Source organism: Homo sapiens, chromosome 11 (genome assembly GCF_000001405.40).
Source record: "Homo sapiens chromosome 11, GRCh38.p14 Primary Assembly".
NCBI lineage: Eukaryota > Metazoa > Chordata > Mammalia > Primates > Hominidae > Homo > Homo sapiens.
Genome location: NC_000011.10, coordinates 114307983 through 114331863, shown reverse-complemented (window position 1 = coordinate 114331863; position 23881 = coordinate 114307983). Strand labels below are relative to the sequence as shown.

General features: G+C 42.7%; 1 protein-coding gene across 5 annotated transcripts in view; it reads right to left on the bottom strand.

The window, feature by feature from the left end:
* Positions 1-18327: 18327 nt before the first annotated feature.
* Positions 18328-23881, bottom strand: part of NNMT (nicotinamide N-methyltransferase) — a 55731-nt gene continuing 50177 nt past the window's right edge. For all 5 annotated transcript variants that reach the window (NR_164073.1, NM_001372047.1, NM_001372046.1 and 2 more), the window contains one exon: positions 18328-19819. Coding sequence is in view for 4 of the 5 variants with exons in the window: in NM_001372047.1 (NP_001358976.1) it covers positions 19387-19819 (433 nt within the window). In the remaining variant the exon portion in view is untranslated. The remainder of the gene's footprint in view (positions 19820-23881) is intronic.

Below are 23881 nucleotides of genomic sequence, written 5' to 3'. Positions count from 1 at the left end.
GCATGATCTGGCTCACTGTAACCTCTGCCTCCCGGGTTCAAACAATTCTCCTGCCTCAGCCTCTTGAGTAGCTGGGATTACAGGTGCCTGCCACCACACCCAGCTAATTTCTTTCTTTCTTTTCTTTTTTTTTTTTTTTTTGTAGTTTTAGTAGAGGTGGGGTTTAATCATGTTGGCCAGGCTGGTCTTAAACTCCTGACCTCAGGTGACCCCCCTGCCTCAGCCTCCCAAAGTGCTGGAATTACAGGTGTAAGCCCACCATACCTGGCCAGAAAGCAATGATTCTCATATAAAAACAGGAATTGGACCTTTGCTGTGCATAAGTATTATATCCAAAAATGGTGCTATATAATAGAGCAAAATGCCTAAATCCTTATTTGAAGATCTGGTTCAAAACTGTACATCTCAGACAACCAGACTGAGGTAACAATGAAACCATGCAACAGGAAGGGGAAAACATGAAAAAAATTCCTATTCATGATCAGTTTTCATACAAAAATTACAAAGCACATAATGACATACATAATAATGAGAGCTGATTGGCAAATCCAATAAATAGAATAAATCACACCTAAGGAAATAGAAATAATGGAGAACGTACCAAGGTGTTTAACACAAGTTTGTTTACAATCCTCAAAGAGATAAAGAAATAGCATTCTTTTTTGGCATGAGGGGTCTGTCTCTCCATTTATTTCTAATAATGTTTAGTTCATATATCTGGGTAGAATAGCATTCTTACAATAAACTGACAATAAGTCATTAATGAAGGCATATATAAAAACTGAACTAAAAATTATTGAAATTACAAAATTGAGTAAAAAACTTAGTATATATAATTAAATAGGCAAGATAAGGTAAAAGAAAATCAGCATATTGGAAAAGAAAACTAAATAAATTTGATGGAAGCTGAGTAAATACCAATTCAATTTTCTCTTCTTGGGCACATAAGAAAATCATATTTTCTGGATGTCCTTGTAATGAGATTGGGGTCATGTGATTGGAATATGGATGAAAGTAATGCATATAGCTTTTAGTTCTGGCCACAAAACATCCTGGGTGATCATCTCCTTCTTTGGAGGTCATGAAGACCACAGGTTGATGATGGTAGCATCACAAGGTGAAAGGAAGTTAAATCTCTGAGCCATGAGAGGAAATGTTTCCAAAGAGCCCCCAGTCTACGTCAAACTGTGGCATAGGCAAGAAATAAACTTTGAATGATGTAAAACAAGATAACTACATAGAAAAATGAAAATGAAGTTATAGAAGATCAACTGAGAAGCTCCAACATATGTATAATTGTTGCTCCTGATAGAGAGGATAGTTAAAATGGGGAGAGAAAATACTATAAGGGATAAGGGACTGAGAAACTTCCAGAAATAAAAAAAGACATAAATCCCTAGATTTTTTTTTGAAGTCATTCAGTAATCTGGTTTACTTGAAGTAGTAAAATTTCACCAAAATTATTCTAACAAACAAATTGACCAAAATTTAGAAATACATTGTAATTTTTTATAACCATTCATTCATTCATTCATACAAAATATATTTTTAAGAACTCACTATGCATCATGTGTCTTCTTAGAAACTTAGAGTTTATAATCTAGTGGGAAATCAGAAAGTCACTGGCAATTAGTATGGAGAGCATAATATAGAGAAAGGAGAGATTGAGGGCATTATGACATAAAATGACATAATACAGTCAAAAAGATAATCAATTAGGGTTAGAGTGAAGGAGTGAAGGAAACACGTGAGCAAGTAACTGGAGGTAATACTAGAATAGTAGGCAAGGGACAAATTCTGAACTGACAAATTTGAAAAATAGCTTGAAACCTTAGAAGCAACATGCTAACTGGATGATTTTAAGCATAGGATTTTTTTTTTTTTTTTTTTTTTTTTTGGCGAGGGGATGGAGTCTTGCTCTGTTGCCCAGACTGGAGTGCAATGGTGCAATCTCAGCTCACTGCAACCTCTGCCCCACAGGTATAAGCGATTCTCCTGCCTCAGCCCCCCAAGTGGCTAGAATTACAGGCATGTACCACTAGGCCCAGCTAATTTTTGTATTTTTAGTAGAGACAGGGTTTCACCATGTTGGCGAGGCTGGTTTTGAACTCCTGACCTCAAGTGATCCACCTGCCTTGGCCTCTCAAAGTGCTGGGATTACAGGCGTGAGTCACTGTGTCTGTCCACAGGAAAATATTTTTATTTTTGTTTTTGTTTCTAAATTTTCTATTTCCATAGTTTTTGGGGGGAACAAGTGGTATTTGGTTACATGAATAAGTTCTTTAGGGGTGATTTGTGAGAATTTGGTGCACGCATCACCCAAGCAGTATACACTGAACCCAGTTTCAGGTCTTTTATCCCTCACCCCCTTCCCACCCTTTTGCCCTGAGTCCCTTAAGTCCACTGTATCATTTTAATGTCTTTGCATCCTCATAGCTTAGCTCCCACTTATGAGTGAGAACATGTGATGTTTGGTTTTCCATTCCTGAGTTACTTGACTTAGAATAATAGCCTCCAATCCCATCCAGGTTGCTGCAAATGCCATTAATTCATTCCTGAAAAAGGTTTTTCTAAAAACAAATCTCTGTCCCACTCACCTATCAGAAATACCAGCACAGCTCTAAGGATCCCTGGATTTTGACTTGGACAAAGCATTTTGCATACCTCTCCTAAGTACACACACAAGAGAAGAAGCATCTTAGCCAGGTAGCACCATTGCTGTGATTCATTTCTCTTATTCATGACATCCTGCCTTCCTTACCAGCTCAGAACTTCTCTTGCTATTGCTCTATGACCAGGCTTTTATTGAGACAAGTAGAAAAATGCATAAAATGCAAAACTGAAAAAGAAAAATGGAGAGAAATGAGCCAAAAAATGGGACAGAGTATAGGGCTATGGTGGGAAGAATATCTAAGAGGCAGGAAAAGGGGTTAGGTGTAGGGTGGCTGGGCCATGAGGAGTCAGAGACAGTCAGGTACTTGGGGAAGAAAAGTTTTAAAGACAGAAAAAAAAATCTTCTGTTGTGAGGAATGGGACTGCAGAGAGATTTTAAAAGTGAATTTATTTTTAGAGATAAAGTCTTGGTATGTTGCTCCAGCTGGTCTTGAACTCCTGGGCTCAAGCAATCCTCCCACCCTGGCCTCCCAAAGTGCTGGAATTACAGGTGTGAGCCACTGCATCTGGCCTAAAAAGTGAATGCTTAGGAAATCTTTCTCTGAGTTGTACAACATGACACATTACTGCCTCATGACACCTCAGAAAAAACCAGTGTTACCTTTCAATGCTTTTGGATTCAGATTTTTATTTCATTTGAAAGTAATATTGGCCACAAGAGAGCCTAGTTTTACTTGGGTTACATATTCATACACTGTTTCCTAATAGTGAAAGTCCCAGGCACACAGTCTCCATGATTGGAAAAGAAGCCTATTGCTGCGTGAGGAAGGAGAATGAGCAGCCTGCAGCCGCTCACAAGCAGTCAGTACCTAAAGAAGGAAGAGCACTGGGTGGTGTGGGGTTAATGGAGACAAATTTCAGCCACTTCATCATTTTGATCAGATCCATTCTTGTTGTACAAATGGCCACAAGGCCTTGGAGAAATTAGATGACACCTGCATGATATAAATCGTGGTCAAGGGAGAATTTGTTAAATGGTGAAAATGTTACCAGCCGTGCTGGGCTGTACTAAGACTGTAATTCTCCTTAGCTGCATCCTTGGAACATGGAGGGAGTGGAGGAATGGCCCTTGGGGAGGGTAAGTTACTTTAGAAGTTCTGAGGGTGGGGAAGGAGGTTGGTTTTTCAGATGAAATAATCGGAGCAATGCCAGGCAGGTAGGCCAGGAGGGAAAAGTGTGCAGAGCTGGTTCTTTATTCATCTTGCATGGGGGGATTGAGACAAATGGCAAGCATTCCCTCTGGCAGAAAGAGAATTTGTATATAGGCAGCAGTCGTACCTTCTCCAGAGATGTTGGCCTTTCTGTTTCTGGAAAGATCTGACAAGTTGCTCTGAAGTATGGAAATGGCTCTCACTGGAGACATTCTAGAGTCTCCTTCCAGCCACAGACATTCTAAGCTGGCTCCCCTAATCTCCTGTGACCATTTGAAGGACTCAGGTGAGGATTGTAAGCAGCTCAAGATGTGAATGGCGACAGTGTTTTTTGAGAACCAAGTGCAGTTTTGTTCAGAATCAAAATATCTAGGCCACAAAGAGGGCTTTGATTCTCAGTTCCCTAGGAGCGGGAAGGAGCTCTCTGGTCGGAGGAATTATGGATGTCCTTGTACCTAAGGTGATATTTCTTTTTATGCACATTCATTCCCTGAGCACACAGCCATTTCCTCCAGGTTGAGCAGCCCGGGCACACTGTCAGCAGGATAATGGTAGAAAACTCAATGGCTAGAGCTTTGGCCTTTTCCAAGTACCCAACATTGACCTCAAAGAATGTGAGGAATGATGATTGAGGTGTATTCCCTATAGAGAATTCTCTCATGCTACACAGGACCTTCTAGATCCTGGGTGGTTGAGGCACAATGGTACTCTTCCTGACATCACCAGATACCAGGCTGCTACCTGAAAGGCTCTCACACCCCAAAGCCAAGTCTGGGTCCTCCCTGGGTCCCAGCCTTGTCACTCTACTGCTGGGGAGCCTCTGCCAAGGCTCTGCAGTGCCTCTGCCATGCCCTGCACGTAGGTCCAATTTGGACAATTCACTTGCCAAGCCCAAGTACCAACCTTCCTTGTTTTACCCACAAACAGAAAATCCCTCCTTCCTCACAATCGCTTTGACCATTCGCCTTTTCAAACTAATGAGGAAATTCAGTCCTCTAGGGGATATGCATAAGAGGTCTTGCCATCAACTCTGCCTCCTCCTAGAAGCCACTCCTCCTTCCTCTCTCACCAGTTGGGCCAATTGTCACTCTCAGTGGTTGATTGGTCCATTATGCTGAGGTCTTGTGGTTTTTTTTTCTAAACATTTCTCCAAAAGGGCTTAAATCCACAGGCAGAATAACACAGCAATTAAGCATGTGGACTTCTAGGCTATGTGAAAATCTTGCTACCACTACTAGCTATGTTACTATAGGCAAGTTTCATGATATCACTGCTAAGCCTTGGTTTCTCCATCCATAAAGCAGGAGTAATAATAACAGCACATAATTCAGAGAATTCTTGTGAGCACTGAATGAGAAAATTGCATGTGGAAAACTGCATGGTAAGATCTCCATGTTCATCTGCTGTTGGCATTATTTCTTGTTGTATGCCAACTCCTCAAGGACCCCACACTGTAGTCACCAGACTCTGGTGGAAGAAGACATAAATTACCAACTGTCATTCAGGGTAATAAATGTTATAATAGAAATACAGTCAATTTTCATTATTCATGGACTCTGGATTTGCTGATCTGCCTGCTTACTAAAATTTGTAACCTCCAAATCGACACTTGCATCACGGTTGTGGTCACCTATGGGCATGTGGAGTGGTGAAACATCTGAGTTGCCCAGCACGCATATTCTCAGCTGAGGTCGAACAAGGCAATGCTCTGTCTTTCTGTTTCAGTTCTCATACTATAAACAAATGTCCCTTTCATGGTCTGTTTGGTGCCATGTTTTTTTGTTTGTTTGTTTTTAATTTTTGTGCTTTTGATTGGTTGTTTCACTGTTTAAAATGACCCCAAAGCATAGTGAAGTGCTGTCTTCTGTTCCTAAGCACAAGATGGCTGTGATGTGCCTTAGAGGGAAAATATGCGTGTTAGACAAGCGTCATGCAGGGTAAGTCATAATGCTGTTGGCCAAGAGTTCAAAATCAATGAATAACAATATATAGTAAATAAGGTGTTTTTAAAACAGAAAACAAAGTTATGCATTGGTCAGTTGATGAAAATGTAACCAGAAGCTGGCAGGAAACTGACCCTGCAATTTTCCTAGGAGCAGCGGATCCATATTTACTAATTCAGTATTGTGATTATTTTATAGAATGTAATGACCACAATAACAAGAAACAATTATACATGGAAAGAACCCACACGAGGGTCTATCAGCTCTGCCAGAGGCAGGGACTTCTCAGCAGAGGGACTTCTGAATTGACTTGGCAAAGGACCCCAAGGCTAGGGCTGGGTCCCCTCCGGGTGCCAGCCTTGTCCCTCTGCTGCTGGGGAGCCTCCACCAAGGCCCTGCAGTGCCTCTGCCACTGCCTCAGGCAGTTAGGTCCAAGTAGAAAAATTCATTTGCCAAGGCTAAGTACACACCTTACTTGTTTCATCTGTAAACAGAAAATCCTTCCTCCCATACAATGGTTTTGACCGTTTACCTTCCTGGTGGATCCAGGACGGGGGTGACATGTGCAAAGCCCGAAGGCCTGGGGGGCACATTTGTCAACCACTGAGATAGATGCCCAAAGACAGCCCATGGTTCTTTCATTTAACAAGTATTTACTGAACACATTCTAAGTGTCAGGCATGTATGAATGAGGGCTGAGAGTGAGGGGCAGAAGTAGGTGGGGCCATTGAGACAGGCCCTGGATGCCATGCTAAGGGGTCTGAACTTGATCCCATGTGCCACGGAGAGTCACCAAAGGCTTACAGGCAGGAGTATGGAATGAGCAAATGTGGCCAGGAAGCAAAAGGCTTAGGTAAAACTAAACATTTTCTTTTTTTTCTTTATTTCTTCTAAAAAAAAAATGAGCATACATGCGCAGAACGTGGAGGTTTGTTACATAGGTATATATACGTGTGCCATGGTGGTTTGCTGCACCTATTGACCCATCCTCTAAGTTCCCTCCCCACACCCTCCCACCCCCCAACAGGCCCTGGTGTGTGTTGCTCCCCTTTCTGTGTCCATGTTAAACATTTTCTTTCAGGACACGAACAGACACTTTTCAAAAGAAGACAGACATGCAGTCAACAAGCATATGAAAAAAAAAAGCTCAATGTTATCAATCATTAAAGAAATGCAAGTCGAAACCACAATGAGATACCATCTCACACCAGTCAGAATAGCTATTACTAAAAAGTCAAAAAATAACAGATGCTGGCGAGGTTGCAAAGAAAACGGGATGCTTATGCACTGTTGGTGGGAGTGTAAATTAGTTCAGCCATTGTAGAAGGCAGTGTGACAATTCCTCAAAGAGCTAAAAACAGAAATACTGCTTGACCCAGAAATTCCATTACTAGGTATATACCCAAAGGAATATAAATCATTCTACCATAAAGACATGCATGAGAATGTTCATTGCAGCAGTATTCACAATAGCAAAGACAGGGAACCAACCTAAATGCCCATCAATGACAAATTGGATAAAGAAAACATGGTACATATATACCATGGAATACTATGCAGTCATAAAAAAGAATAAGATCATATCCCTTGCACGAACATGGAAGGAGCTGGAGAACATTATCCTTAACAAGCTAACACAAGAACAGAAAACCAAATACCGCAAGTTCTCACTTATAAGTGGGAGTTAAATGATGAGAACACATGGACACAATGAGAGGAACAACACACACTGGGGCCTACTTGAAGGTGGAGGGTGGGAGGAGGGAGAGGATCAGAAAAAATAACTTTTTTTTTCTTTAGAGACCAAGTTTTGCTCTTGTCACCCAGGCTGAGTGCAATGGAGCGATTTCAGCTCACTGCAACCTCCGCCTCCCGGGTTCAAGAGATTCTCCTGCCTCAGCCTCCCAATTAGCTGGAATTACAGGCATGCGCCACCACACAGAACTAATTTTTGTATTTTTACTAGAGACAGGGTTTCACCATGTTGGTCAGGCTGGTCTCAAACTCTTGACCTCAAGTGACCCACCTGCCTCAGCCTCCCAAAGTGCTGGGATTACAGGCATAAGCCACCGTACCTGGCCAGAAAAAAATAACTATTTAGTACTAGGCTTAGTACTTGGGTAACAAAATAATCTGCACAACAAATCCTTGTGACATGAGTTTACCTAAATAATAAACCTGCACATCAGAAAAAATAACTATTGGGTACCAGGCTTATTACTAAGGTGATGAAATAATCTGTACAACAAATCCCTATGACATGGGTTTACCTAAATAACAAACCTGCACATATACCACTGAACCTAAAATAAAAGTTTAAAAAAATGTTTTTTAAAAAACATTTTCTTTCAGTTAACCGTTAGAATAAGCAACCCAAAGAAGCTATGTGTTCCCTCCCTGAAACTATTGAAGGACAATAGAGGTCTCTGTTTCTCAAGGCCAGAATTTGTTACATCTCTCCTTAACCACCTTCAAGGGCCTTTCATTGTGCTTGGAATTAAGTACAAACAGCTTCAGTCTTTCTCACTCAGCTTTTGTTTCTCTCTTTAGTCCACCTGTAGCCAGTCATCTCCTCACTAGCCTCTGTAGACCAGCCACATGGAACTTCCTTCGTGTCTTCAAATGAGCCATGCTCTCTCTTGTCCCCAAGTCTTTGTTGCATTTTGTCTGGAATATAGATCCCCCTCTCCCAACCCTTACCTGCAACATGCACCTTGCTAATTCTTCATCCTCTAGTTCTCAGCTTGAAACTCGCTTTCTCCAGGAAATCATACCTACATGTGTTTCTATATGACCCTTTTCATACTGAATTGTTTTGCTTGATTTTATTGTCCATCTTTGCTGTGGTAGTCAGTTCCAGCTGCTCTAATATAACACCATAGACTGTGTGGTTTAAACCACAGAGTTATTTCTTAGAGTTCTGGAGCCTGGGAAGTCTGAGATCAAGGTCCCAGCAGATCTGGTGCCTGTCGAAAGTCCTCTTCCTGGTTTGCAGATGACCCTCTTCCCCATATGTCCTCACATGGCACAGAGCTGAGCACAAGAGCAAGCTCCTGTGTCTCCTTCTGTAAGAGCACTAATCGCATTTATGTGGGCCCCACCTTCATAACCCAGTTACCTCCCAAAGTCCCCACCCCCTAATACCATCACACTGGGGACTAGAAGGGGAGACTTTGGGAGGTAATAGGGTTATGAATTTATGAATATATATGAATTTGGAGGGACACAAACAGTCCCTAGCACTTGGCAATCGACCATAAACTTGGAAAGGGCAGGAACCACGTGTGTCCAATTTACTGTTTCTCTCCCTAGTACTTAGTGCCTGACACTTAGTAGGTGCCTCTGAGCCCAAACAGAGGGAAACAAACAAGTTCACCTCGGGAGAATTGGGAATTTAGCTCCCCTAGCCTAGGAATTAGTGGGGTTTTCCATTATGTTAAAGGTTAAATGTTCCATTCTCCACTATGGGGACTGTACTGTTCCCTGAGATCCAGGTTTCCTCGAGCCCCACTCTTCTAATGATTATAAAGTTGCTAAGGGTGCTGAGTTTGCCCTCCAGCCAGCAGGGTCTTTTTTGAACTGTGAAACAATCAATTCTTCTCAAATGCACAAAGTACACTTAAATGTCTACAATTACAGTTGCATTTTCTAAAAGGACACTAATTATCTTTAATTCATGGATTATACTTACTGCCTGGGAGCAAGGAACTAAAAAGCACCTTGCATTTGTGGGGAGGCGTTCTGCTTCTTTGCCTCCCAGTGGGTCTTACTGGAGTTATTTCTAGTCACCCTTCAAGTTCCAGCTCCCATCATGCCCCGCTATGGGAGGTCATTTACCCTGATCTCTAGGAAATTAAAGAGAGGGATGAAAACATTTGACTAGTGCAGGTTAAGTCTCAGAAAACATCAGTGTCTTATTTCAGCGTCTGGTCTTGTAGGTTAAGAAACATGACTTTTTATTACATCTGTGGCTGGTCTGGTTACTCACTTATGCAAGTCAGACTCATAAGAGAGTGAATCAGCACCAGAGAGTGGACTATTTTTACTTGGTATGAGGAGTTTGCATTTCCAGAATTTGGAATTTTGGAAGTTGTGATTCAGGGCATTTCTGTCCTCATATCCCAGAAGGTCAAAGAACATTAGATCCTCTCTCTCTCTCTTTTTCTTAGAGATGGGGTCGCACCCTGTTAACAGCCTGGGCTGGTTTCAAACTCTTGGGCTCAAGCGATCCTCCTGCTTCAGCCTCCCAAACTTCTGGGACTACAGGCATGTGGCACCGTGCCCAGTCGTCTCTTGGGGAACGTTTTATGCTAGCTGTACACTGATAAAGCAGAGAGAACATGGATTACTATTCCCTCTTTGTAAAGAGACTGAGGTTTTACCTGAATGTCATGATTTATTGGGCCTTGGAGTCCTTATTTACAATTTAGGAGGCTGGAGTAAGTCAGAGTTAAGTTTAATTTACTGTATTCCTAATAATCCAATTTAAATGGATGCATCACGTAAGAATTTTCACTGAAAATGGTCGTAATTTAAGTTAGTAAAGCCTTAACCTGTTCATGGTTGGGGCTCAAATTTGGACCTAGTGCATGGGTCCAAACTTCAATCTCAACTTTTTTCCTTTGTCATTGTCTCAGCCAGGGTTCCAAGTGGAGTGTTGCTACTCACAGCTCACAGCTCACAGCTGCTCCAGAGTCCAAGATAGGGATTTGGGAACATGTAATTCATTGAGGGAGTGCTCTTTAGGGAGAACTGGTTAGAGAGGGAGAAGGAGCCAATCAGGGATGTGGTCTCAGGAAAAGTCCAATCTTGGCCCGATCCACAAGGGAAGAGGTGCAGAAACAGAAACTGCATTGATGAATGTCCCCCAGTGCAGGAGGGGGACAAGGCTTTTGAATCCCCCTATCAGTCAGTCATGGCTATGGGTGAGGGAGGGGACGGTGCCTGTAACTTACTGTGTCTATCACTCTCACCTACCTGCCTCTACTCTGCTGTACTTGGCTTTGCTCAATTACTGACTGTTACTTGATGTTTTTCAAGTTTAAATCCTTTAGAAGAGCACTGTGAAATCCTGCATGCAAAAAAACATGTATTGAGTACATTTATTGAGGAGGTGGCTCTGATTAGCTAAGAGCAGTTCTCCTGAGAAGGAGCAGCTGTGAGCTGTGAGCTGTGAGCAGCAACACTCCACTTGGAGCAGCTGGGGGCTGGGTGTGCTGACCTGGAGAAGGGGGCCCAGGTGTAGCACCGCAGCATCTATGAGGGTCACCAATCCTGTGTACCATCCCTCTCACCGCTGGGCATTCCCGTACATGCTCTTCTCTCTGTCTAGAACTTGCTTTCTTCCCTTTTTCTCAGATAAATCTTATTCATTTTAGACACCGCCTCCTCCAGGACACCTTTGCCAACCTTTCATGACTAGACTCGACTCTCCTGTGTTTTTGCATCTACGTGGCATTCCATATTAGAGCTTATCTGGGCCCATCTTAACTGTGGGCTCCAGGAAGTCAGGGACCACATCTGTCTTGGGTTCCTCTCTATATAACAGTCGGACTCATTTCTGGCACTCAATAAATGCTTTTTGCATACAGGATTTCATAATGCTCTTCTAAAGGATTCAGACTTGGGAAACATGAAGTTACAATCAGTAACTGAGCGAAGCCAGGTACAGCACAGTAGAGGCAGGTAGGAGAGAGTGATACACACACTATGCCCCTATCATCATGAACTGTGAGTGAGTTTTCAGGGGAAAGTCGTGCTTGCATTGAACAGCATTGTTTTGCACTGATGAACAGTGAAGCTTGTAACCGATACTTCTCCTCTTTGCCTTGGAGGCTAGCAAGCTCAGAGCCCGAGCCCTTGATTAGGTAAAGGGGGAGAAATTTCTAATTTTAAATACGGGCACTTAAGTTCCTTTCAAAGAAAACACCTTGAAGGCTTCAAGGAAGTGAAGCCCCAGGGGTGTGGTCTCGACTTGAAGAAGCAAGTGAAATAAGAGATCAGTACAGGAATTCAGGAGGGGAGGCAAACAGCCCAAGAGGAGTGGGCTGGGGACCAGAGAAGGGAGGACAGATGCCAGAGCAACATGGCCAGGGTCAACTGAAGAAGTTGAGTCACTGAGAAATTCCCCATGAGATTAACAGCAAGGATGCCAAGTATTTTAAGTTGATAGGGTCCTAAGCATGAACCCCTTCTGTTGTCTTGAGGCTTTAGCAAAGGCTGCTACTTATATATTTGAGGGCCAGGGGAATTTTAGCAAATGAAGGGATCAGGATGGGTCTGGTTAGGGGTCATGTGCTGCAGAGAAGAATCAGCCCATGCTAGGAGTGAGTGATTCACACACTGGAACACAGACCGAGTGGAAGGTCCACTCCAGGGGTCACCAGGAGAAATACAAATCACTGCCCCCGACAGTTCCCTGCAAGACGAGAGGAAATTATGGGCTGTATGAAGGACGGGGTTTGAGCCAATTTCACTTGAATCTTAAAGGATGGGATTAACCCAAGTGGTCCTTTAGTTAGAACTCTATTTTAACAAGCATTGTTCTCTAATTCATAAATCATAAAACACTGGACTTCACAGATATGTAATTCAACTTTTCAATTTACAGTAGACTAAGGCACAGAAAGGCAAAGCTCCTTGCCCCCTTAGAGTCTCCATATCTTCACCTCTAAAATAAAAGGATTTGATTGGTAATTTTGTAAATGTTAACTCACAAGCAAGATTATAAATTCTGCAAGGGCAAAGGTCATATTAAACAAATGAGGTTTCTTTCTTTTTTTTTTTTTTTAAATATTTTTGTAGAGACGGGTTCTTGCTCTGTTGCCCAGGCTGGTCTCGAACTCCTGGATTCAAGTGATCCTCCTGCCATGGCTTCCCAAAGTGCTGAGCCACTGTGCCTGACCAACGACTGGGATTTCTATAGCATTTAACAAATATTAGACAGCAGTGAGAAGGGGCCAGAAATGGACCCTTGAGAGGTAAAGGAGCAATAAACTAACTGCTTACCCTCCCCTTTCTAGAAACCTCTTTCTCCTCCTCATGCAAATGAAGTGTTTACATACCTGCTCTTAAGAAAAATACCAGTCGCTTAGGTGGAAGGCTTCAAAGTGAGTTGTTATTACTGATGCTTTTTTTTTTTTTCCTTTTGAGACAGAGTCTTGCTCTGTCTCCCAGGCTGGAGTACAGTGGTGTGATCTTGGCTCGCTGCAACCTCCATCTCCTGGGTTCAAGCAGTTTTCCTGCCTCAGCCTCCCAAGTAGCTGGGATAACAGGCATGCACCACCACGCCCAGCTAATTTTTTTGTATTTTTAGTAGAGACAGGGTTTCACCATGTTGGTCAGGCTGGTCTCCAACACCTGACCTCAAATGATCCACCCACCACGGCCTCCCAAAGTGCTGGGATTACACGGGTGAGCCACTGCACCTGGTCGCTATTACAGATCTTTCTGAAGAGCAGCCTAACTGGTGTTTACAATTCTTTAACTCCTCTTCTGTTTAAACATTCAAAAGCTTTTCTCTGAAAGGAAGAGAGACAATAACCTACCAGGAAAGAAACTACTTCCTGGCTTTCAATATTGAAGTCCAAACAAAGGCAATAATAACTCACAATTAGTTGTTGAGAGTTTGAAATTCAACCTCAACCCTTCCCCTGAATTCATCAGACACTATTAAAGTACAAATTAAAGTGATAAGCATAGAGGTTTGGCCGGCAACCACAGCCATAGAAAGACTTCTTCATTTTCTAAATATTAAAAAACTAGGGTTTGAAAAAGCACAAAAACCTTCTTTCTCTTCTTTGAATAAACAGCAAATAGAAGGTGATGGTGAGTTAACTGCATAATCTAATAGTTATCATTTCTCATGCTATTCTGGCCAAGATCCTCTTTACAGTTTATTAAAATTTGCATTTTGTGTATAGACCTAAAAGGGAAATTTTTAAATGTGTGTATCCATAAAAATAATTATCCATATTTTTTGTTAAAGAAAAATATGCTGAATTCCTCTTTCTCTTTTCCTAGCAGCCTCATAAGTAGACTGTGAAAAAGGAGACACTGCAGAGAAGCGTCTTGTTTGGGAAGGTTTAACTCAATTTAAATTCCTTCATGTGTAAATGGTCAAATTCAGGAATGAAGGGCTTCAACAAGAGCCACGTGCACCCTCTGCTGGCGCTCAGAGGGCCAAGGAAAGCGTTTGAAAGGCCAAGGAAAGCATCTCCTTTCAGTGTGAAACTGGCCAGCAAGGGAGACGAGAGGGCTAGACTCAGAAAGTTTAAATCCCTGCTTTCATTGGAAGATATGAAACAGAAAGCTTCAGTGACTTTACTCACAATGGTGTTTTTCTTTGTGATAATGTTCCTTAAACACATAATCCTAGCTCAACATTTTTTTTTGAGTGAAGCTGATCTATACATGAGAAGGTACAGCTGTAAGAAGGGCCTGGTTTGTCTCATTTGGGTGGGCAAAAGGTCCTGCCTAGCTGACTTGAGTACCAAAAAAAAAATCTAGCATTTCTGCTCAGGCTGTGTCAGAGTGCATTTCTTTCTGGTCTTCCTTGCAGGAAAATAAGTCCCACGAGGCCAGAGACTGCGTCATCTTCACTGTAGGATCCTCATCTCAGGCCCAATGCCTAGCACATAACAGGGATGCAAGAAACATCTTCTGAATGAATAAGCAACTATGAAGAAGGCTCTGGATTCAAGGTGCCTATGGTGCTGACTTGCATAGAAAGCATATGCAAGACAGGTTTTGAAGGCCATACTCAGTTCATTAAGAAAGTTTTTTCAGTGTTAAGATTTTTTTTTCTTTCAATTTTAATTTTAGATTCAGGGGATATATGTGCAGGCTTTTTAAATGGATATATCGTGTGATGCTGAGGTTTGGGGTGTGATTGAACCCATCACCCGGGTAGTGATCACAGTACAATAGGTAGTTTTTCAACCTTTGCCCCTCTCCCTCGTCCCCCCTTTTGTAGTCCCCACTGTCTATTGTTCCCATCTTTGTGTCCATGTTGACCCCATGTTTAGCTTCTACTTATACATGAGAACATGTGGTATTTGGCTTTCTGTTTCTGGCTACTGCACTGAGGAGAATGACCTCCAGCTGCATCCATGTTGGTGCAAAGGACATGATTTCATTTTTTATGGCCATATAGTATTCCATGGTATAAATGTACCACATTTCCTTTATCCGATCCACCATTGATAGGTGCCTACTGGATTCCATCTCTTGCTACTGTGAGTAGTGCTGTGATGAACATGTGGGTGCATATGTCTTTTTGGTAGAATGATTTATTTTCTTACTAAGGAACTGTTCATGAATGCAGCAACATGTGGCTTAATGGCTGTCCTAGAATGGGTTAATACTATCAGAGTTATCTAATATTTGTCACTTAACAGGTTACAAAATGCCTTCACAGGTACCTCACTTGATCTCAGTGCAGTCCTGAGAAATGATGATTATCCCTGTTTTCCAGAAGGGTCCCAAGCCTGAGAAAGCTGGAATGATGCTCTTACAACAATCAAGTGATCAAGCTAAGATTCACACATGTTTTCTGTCCCTTAGTCCTATGTTTGTTCCATGTTCTCTGAGCCTCCATAAGATTTATTGGTTGCCTCGTATTCTCCGAGTTGGCTGAGACTAAAATTAGAGGGGGCAGTTATAGCTTTTAAAGCTCAGCCTAGTAAGTTGTACCATGGACATCTTTTATTACTTTTGACAGCCAGATGATGGGAATCACGAAGACTGAGCTGCATGACACCAAATGGGTTAACGACCTTTTTAATAGCTTTCTTCTCCCCACTCTCTCCCCAGGATGTTACAGAGAGACTTGCAGCTTCCTGCATCACAAAGGTTTGCTTAAAGTGAGACTGTTGAACATTTCCCCAGAAAGTAGGACCTTAAAAAACCGGAGCTGGGTCAGCGGTCAAAGAGATTTACAAGTTAGGACCAGAATGACCCTAGTCCTTGTTTGCTCATGACTTGGTCGGTCTGTTTGATTTCAAGGAAAGCAAATGAAAAACCAGAAGCCAAATATTTACTTAGGTCCCGGCTTCCGTCGGAGAACAGACCTGTGAGGAGGCTGCTACCAGGAGGAGGAGTCATTTCATGTCTTCGTACACGTTGTTCCCTAGACTGCCCTTTTCCTCTCGGTTGCCAAACACACCCCTATTCAGTCTGCAAGGCCCAGAGCAAATGCCACCTTTCTTCCCATCCTCCCCCTTAGCACCCTGTGCTTACACATCTCAGAGCCCTTGTCTTGCTGTGTCTTAACTGTTTGCATGTCGATTTCTCCCCATGACTTGCAGTTCTTTAAGAACAGGGGCTATGTCTTTCATCTCCGTGGGAAAGAAAAATGTTGGTTATCAGAGCAGAGTCCCAGAGCCCAAAGAACAGCCCAGTGGCTTTCAAACGTTTTAAAAATCACAAACTAGAGTAACAAATGCATGTTATATCATGATCCAGTAACAAATATGCACATGTGTGCAGATAGACAGATGTCTGTAAAATGGAAACGAAATTTCCCAAAATAATATACCACATGCAGTGCTAATATCTGAGATTCTGTTTTCTAGTTTATTCTCTATTCATTTTTAAAATGTGGATTTGGTGCACCAAATTGATTTTATGATACATTGATGAATGGCAACTTGCAGTTTGAGAAATATTAGTGTAGGTAACACTTCATCTGCCATCCCCCACCACCCTTGTTTTCTGATTTTCTGTTTGTATTTATTGAATGCTTCAAACTAGGGGAGGAAGGAGGAGTTTCTTTTTTTTTGTTTTGTTTTTTTTTTGAGATGGAGTCTCGCTTTGTCACCCAAGCCCAGGCTGGAGTGTTGTGGTGCGATCTCGGCTCACTGCAAGCTCTGCCTCCTGGGTTCATGCCATTTGGAAGGAGGAGTTTTGATTGGGAGATTGAGCAAGAAAGAGAGTGCTACAGCAGGGATGGAGCACAGAAGAAACCATATTCTGCCTATTTTTTGTCCAGCCCCTTGGACTTGCCTTGAGCTCCTATAAGAAGAAACTGACCAGACTGTTCACAAGAAAATGTATACAGATGGTCCTCGGCAGATGATGAGGTAACAGCCCAATAACCCATCATAAGTTGAGAATATCATAAGTCCAAAATAAATTTAATGCACCTAATGTATCAAACATCATAGTTTAGCCTAGCCTACCTTAAATATGCTCAGAACTCTTTCATTAGCCAAAAACTGGGCAACATCATCAAACACAAAGCCAATTTTGTAACAATAAAAATAAAAGATCAAAATTCAAAATTTGAAGTACAGTTTCTACTGAATGCATATAACATTTGCACCATCATAAAGTCCAAACATTGTAAGTCAAACATAAGTTGGGGTTCGGGCATGGTGGCTCACTCCTGTAATCCCAGCACTTTGGGAGGCTGAGGTGGGCAGATCACTTGAGGTCAGGAGGTTGAGGCCAGCCTTGCCAACATGGCTAACATACAAAATACAAAAATTAGCTGGGCATGGTGGCACACGCCTGTAATCCCAGCTACTCAGGAAGCTGAGGCGGGAGAATTACTTGAACCCGGAATGTGGAGGTTGCAGTGAGCCAAGATCTTGCCACTGTACTCCAACCTGGGCTCCAGAGAGAGACTCCATCTCAAAAAAATAAAATAAAAATAAGTTGGGGATCATCTGTAAACTTCAGGCACAAACAAGGCTACTTAAGGGTCTAGATCAGGGGTCTACAAACTACAACCCTTGGGCCTAATCTATCCATCCATCTGTTTTTATAAATAAAGTTTTATTGGAACACAAACACGCACATTTGTTACATACTGTCTATAGCTGCTTCTGCTACAACTGCAGAGTTGAGTAGCTGCAATTAAGACTGTATAACCCACAAAGCCAGAAATATTTGCTATCTGGGCCTTGACAGGAAAAGTTTACCAATCCCTGGAATAAATGAAAAGTGTTTCTTACCACTCTGGGAGGAAACCAGGATGGCTCTGAGGCATCTAAAGCAGAGTGTTAGGCATGGGCAGTATCCTTCTCAAAAGAGGGCATATTGGTCCCTTTCCAGCATCCTCAGGCTGGGCTCAGGGGCCCCAGCATCACAGCCTGAGCAGGAGAGCCTCAACAGGGAGATTCTGGGTAGGGACTGCTGGTGCAGGTACACTACTGCCCTTGGAAGGACCTGGGAGCACTTAGGGTGTTTCTGGGACTATGAAGATGAGGGCTGTTGAGTCAGCTGACACTGGGATTTCATTTTCATTCTTGTGCCTGGTGCATGAAAGAAAGATGCTTGGAGAGTGCTAAATGTTTGCTAGAGATTTCTTAAATCAAAAAGGAATTGGCAGCATGTGGTATAGAAACTGAGTTGTATCACAGCCTCTCTCAAAGGCAATGCCAGTAAAGAGTCCAGTGCCTGTAGCCGAGAACAGGAATCCTCTCTCCTGATTGGAGAATAAGCCATCTTTTCTCAGCTGCTTTGGCAACTAATATTAACGATGATGCGTATAATAATAATGATTGTAACTAACATTTACTGAATGTTTATCAAGCACCATGCAATATTCTAGGTCCTTTACATGTAACAATTCACTTTATTTTATTTTATTTATTATTTATTTATTATTTTACTTTTTTCGAGACAGCATCGCACTCTGTCTGGAACACAGTGGTGCGATCTCAGTTCATTGCAACCTCCGCCTCCCGGGCTCAAGCCATCCTCCCACTTCAGCCTCCTGAGTAGCTGGGACCACAGGCATATGCCGCCACACCTAGCTAATTTTTTTGTATTTTTAATACAGACAGGGTTTTTGCATGTTCCCCAGGCCAGTCTCGAACTTCTGAGCTCAAGCAATCTGTCTGCCTCAGCCTCCCAAAGCGCTGGGATTACAGGCATGAGCCACAGTGCCTGGCCACAATTCACTTTAATTCTCTTAATAAAAAGACTATTTTAATCTCATTTTATAGATGAGGAAAGTGAGGCACTGCAAGGTTATATAACTTGCCTAATGAGAAACAGCTAATAAGTGGCAGAGTCTGAATTTGAAAATGGAGTGATCTTTGTAGCTTAAAAAAATTTTTTTTTGGATTGCTGGGATGAACAGAAATGCTGGACAGCTGTTCTCTGGCCCCTGAGGCCAGAGTGGAGTCTAGCAAACAGCTATACCCACATGGCAGCCTGAACAGCGGCAGAGGCCAGGGTTTGGTAGCCTCTCCAGGGAGAAGGCAAGAGTTAAAGAATAGGAGAAGCCCATTCCTGGGAGAGAAGGAGCCAGCAGTGCCCCCTTAGGAAACTAATAGTGAGTAACTGCAGACACTTCTCTGTAGGCAGGTACGGGCTTGAGCCGCCATAACTAGATGTTTAGGGAAGTGAGGTCTTCTTTTGTAAGCACAGGCAATGAAGACTGGAATACTAATTGCTCATCTTTGGGTCCCATAGCACCAACATTTGTGTGCAGCACCAAGTAAGTGGTCAATGGATTGCTTGTAGACTGACCTCTCTAGTCCCGTCCTAGATGAACCATTGGGCCCCAACCACTGAGCCTCTACTCAGCACATGACTTGGCAGTTAGAAACAAGGACTAAAGTCAACTGGACAGGTCAAAGGAATTGCTTTAATTGAGGTCACAGGCATCACAGGGGTCTGCTCAGCTTCCTCGCCACCAGGGAGAAAAGTCCTTCGTTGTTGGCCATGGTGGAAGAATAACTTTGCGAGATCACCTCAAACCATTCGATTGTGTAGCCAGCCTCTTTCACAGCAGCCTCTACTGCCTCCCGGCCCAGGGGGAGGCTGGAGAACTTCTGCTCACCAATCATGTAGTAGCTGCTCTTGAGCGCATCCATGATCACCAGGAAGCCCCCTGGCTTCAGTAGGCTGCCGAGGTTCCTGAGCGCCCTGCAGTAGGTGGGGAGGTCTGGGCAGGCGGCATCCAGACACAGTGTGCTGAGCACGCAGTCAGCCGGGGGTAAGGGGACGGCCCCCAGTGGCTGGCTCTGAGTCACATCACACTTCAGCACCTGCTTGACCGCCTGTCTCAACTTCTCCTCCTTCTCTGGACCCTTGACTCTGAAAAACACAAACCCACAGACATTGTTTTCCACTCCAGTCATGGGGAACCCAGATCTCTTGGGTCAAGGCTAAAAATGGCCGTATTGTCCCAGATGTGTGTCCTTAGGGCCACCTCTATCGGGAAAGGAGAGAAAGAAGAACTGAGGGGTCATTTTGGCATTTGAATGAGACCATATTACCCTGAGCTATGTTAAATCTCTTCATAAAGTGAATAGTATGTGAAAACGATAATAATACCTAGCAGCCTGCTTCTACCGTGGACTTCCCTCCATGAAATTATTCTTCCTTCACTGCTTAGTATAGTACTCACTTATACTATACTGGCTCATTTATTAGTATTTATAGGTTATTATTATTATACTTGATCCATCTGCCAAACTGTAAGTTAGCGGCTACTTGACCCATACAGAATAAGTATTAATAATAAGGGGTTTCAAATGCTGAAACATTATCTTTGCAGTAGTTGCTGATCAATAAGAGTGGTGAGGTCTTCCATAGATATTTTTAGGAACTATTGATCATTATCCCACAGCTGTGAACAGGGCACTCCTGGAGAGAAGAAAGCTACATTTCCCATTCTCAGATTCCAACAAATATTGCAGATAGTATGTTTTCTGACAGAGATCATGTTTTTGGTAGCCTTGCCAGGAACCCTGTCCTTTTCTGCCAAATCAATGGCATGTTTTGGGTTTTTTGTTTTGTTTTGTTTCTAGAGACAGGGTCCTGTTCTGTTGCACAGGATGGAGCGCAGTGGCGCCATCACAGCTCACTGCAGCCTCAAACTCCTGGGCTCAAGGGATCCTCCCCACCTCAGCCTCCCAAAGCACTGGGATTACAGGCTTGCACCACCATACCAGGCTAATTTTTTTATGTTTTATAGAGACAGGGTCTCCCTATGTTGCCCAGGCTGGTCTCGAACTTCTGGCCTCAAGTGATCCTCCTGCCTCAGCCTCTCAAACTGCTGGAATTGCAGGCATGAGCCACCACCACACCTGACCCAGTGGTGATTTCTCAAGAGAAAAATCAGTTAATAAAAGAATGAAAGAAGAGAAGGCAAGGGCAGGAGATGGGACAGAGTGGCTTGTATCCTATTTGAATTTGTTAAAGGAGGAAGAAAGGAACAAACAAACAAATGATCAAAATTAAATAAACAGAGTGTACAAGAGAAACCAGAGAGCAGGGGCGGACAAAGGAGAAAGAAGTAGCAGAAGATCAGATAAGTGAGAAAAGGGGAAGAAACATTGAGTGTGTTAAGGGCCCAGGCCCCAGAGCACTAAGAGTAGGAGTGACCCCTGGGTATTGCACTCTTGGAAGGAGTTAACCAGCAAAGCATTGTGGAGCAGATCCAGTCTCACACTCAGGAAACACACACTCTACCATCTGATGCAGACTCCAGGAGAAAATGGCCACTTGGGCATCAAGGCTTGACAGACAGCAGAGATGGCCCCACATTCCAGCAAGTGAGGGAGACTTTCACTGGGACCATTTCCAGTTATGAGGAAAAGTCAATGGTTTAAATAAAACTTGATTCGAGAGAGTGGACACTAGTCATGGGCATCTTAAATATTCACTTAAAATCTTAATCCTAGCGAATATAATCACTTCTTTGCAAACATGCTTTATGCTTCCTATAATTTTCCATTTAAGGAGCTTAGCAATTAGCAGATGAAAAGATGCTCAACATTGTCAGTCATCAGAGAAATGCAAATCAAAACCATGAGATACCACTTCACATCACTATGACGGCTATAATAAAAAAGACAGATAATACCAAGTGTTGGCAAGGATTTGCAGAAACTGGAACCTACATACACTGCTGCTGACAATGTAAAATAGTCCAGTTACTTTGGAAAACAGTCTGGCAGTTCCTTAAAAGGTTAAATATAGAGTTACCACATGACCCAGGAAATCTGTCTAGGTATATACCCAAGAGAAATGAAAACATATATCCATACAAAAACTTGTAATGAATGTTTATAAACAGCTAAAAGGTGCAAACAATGCAACCGTCAACTTCTGAATAGGTAAATAAAATGTGATATATACATATAATGGAATATTATTTGGCAACAAAAAGAAATGAAATTCTGACACATGCTACAACATGGATGGACCTTCTAGACACAGGCTAAATGAAAAAAGCCAGAACCAAAAGGCCACATATTGTATGATTCCATTTATATGAAATGTCCAGAAAAGGCAAAGCTACAGAGACTGAAAGCAGACCAGTGGTTGCCAGGAGCTGAGGGATTTGGAGAGAAATGGGAGTGGCTGCTAATGGGTACAGGATTTCTTTTGAGAATTATGAAAATGTTGTAAAATTGATTGTGATGAAGGTTGCACAACTCTGAAAGTATACTAAAAACTACTGAATTTCGCAATTTAAATGGGTGCATTAATTGTATGGTATGTGAGTTTTATCTCAATAAGCTGTCATATTAAAAGAGAGAGAGAGAGAGAGATGAGCTTAGCAAGGTGTTGATTTGGGGGAATTCCTACCAACCACTAAACTGGTATCTACATAGAAAACAAAAATTATCCTTGGTTGGGTCTACCTGCTCCTTTATCAAGGCTAGAAATGGTAGCAGGGTGACCACTTTGTCCTGATTTGTCTCAGACTTTTCTAGTTTTAGCACTGAAAAATCCCATATTCTAAGTCCCCCTTGCAGTCCTGGACAAAGCAGACAGTCATTCTAAGGTGGGAAACTAGTTACAAAGCTACCACCCAGCCTTGATACAACATGGAAGTTTTCATAGAACACTTTAAGAATAACAACAAAAAGAAAAACACTGTAGAAGTGTGTGAGAAACATGTATTTGAATAGACAAACTAATCTAGAACAGAAAAACTTAAGTAACCTATCTGCACATAGGAATAATAATAAAGTGTATATCAAAAGGTAGAGTAGTGACAACATAGTGTTCTGGGGGATGTGTTTCGGGATGATCCTGTATAACGGGAACATTGTGGAAATGTGTGTTTGATTCCAACAGAAGCAGAACGAACCTCCGTGCCCTATTGCGTATTAAGCTATTTGAAACACTTGAGTTACCACAGAACTAGAACTTACCAGTCAGATGATGATGCAAATTGTTCCCAAACTGTGAGCCACACTGTGAAGTCTCCAAAGCTCACAGAGAATGTGCCAATTTGAGAGGGAAATTTGCTAGAAACACCCAGTGTCATAGATCCCTGCTTGTCCTTGGACACACAGCAAACATTGGGGAAGTCAGTTGCCAAGGTAGCTGTGTAAAGCCTGCATACACCTCGGGGCAACGCAGGGAAATGGACTCACCAGAGACCCAGCCAATTACTACTTTGCCTCATGTTTAGCTCATGGGGTAGGTAATAAACACACACCGGGAAAGTGCTATGCTGTTTTGCAGAAAGCTAACAGCGGTGTGGTCATTTCTTTAGTTCTAAAGGTCTGCCCTTTCAAAAGAATCAATATGCAAAAAAAGGTAGCCCTGTCCTCTGTAAATATGCATCTATAAAAGCCTGAGGGGTATGGGGAGGAAGGGAGGGAGGCAAGAAAGGATGAAGAGGAGGGCCCCGGGAAGAACCCTTTCTGAGAATGTCTTCCCACATTCCAGGTGAACTATCCTGAGATTTAGAGGCGGTTCCTCCTGCCCTGTCTCAGCAAGGCTGGCAGTGCATCAGAATCTCCCTGACAAGCTGTTTTTCATTGTCCTCACATCCCCAAAGCCCCATCCTCAGAAGTTCCTGCAGGCTCTCCTGAGAAAGAACCATCAAAACAGGTCAAGGAAATCAAGGCTAAGTAAGCGTGGAGGTCACTGTGAGAATTGTACGGGCAAGGAACAATCATTAGTGCATCTTTGACAGAGACCACACCCCACACCCGAATCAGGTGAATGATATTCTAGGAGGAAAAGTCTGAAAAGCAAAATGTGAGTATTCATGTATTTTCCAAATATGTTTTGAACCTCTACTATGTTCAGGAAATAGGCTGGGCACTGGGGACACAAGGATGAACAAATGAGAAACAGATTCTAACCTCATGGAGATTGTAGACGGGTGGGTGGCGGGAGAAAGCATTA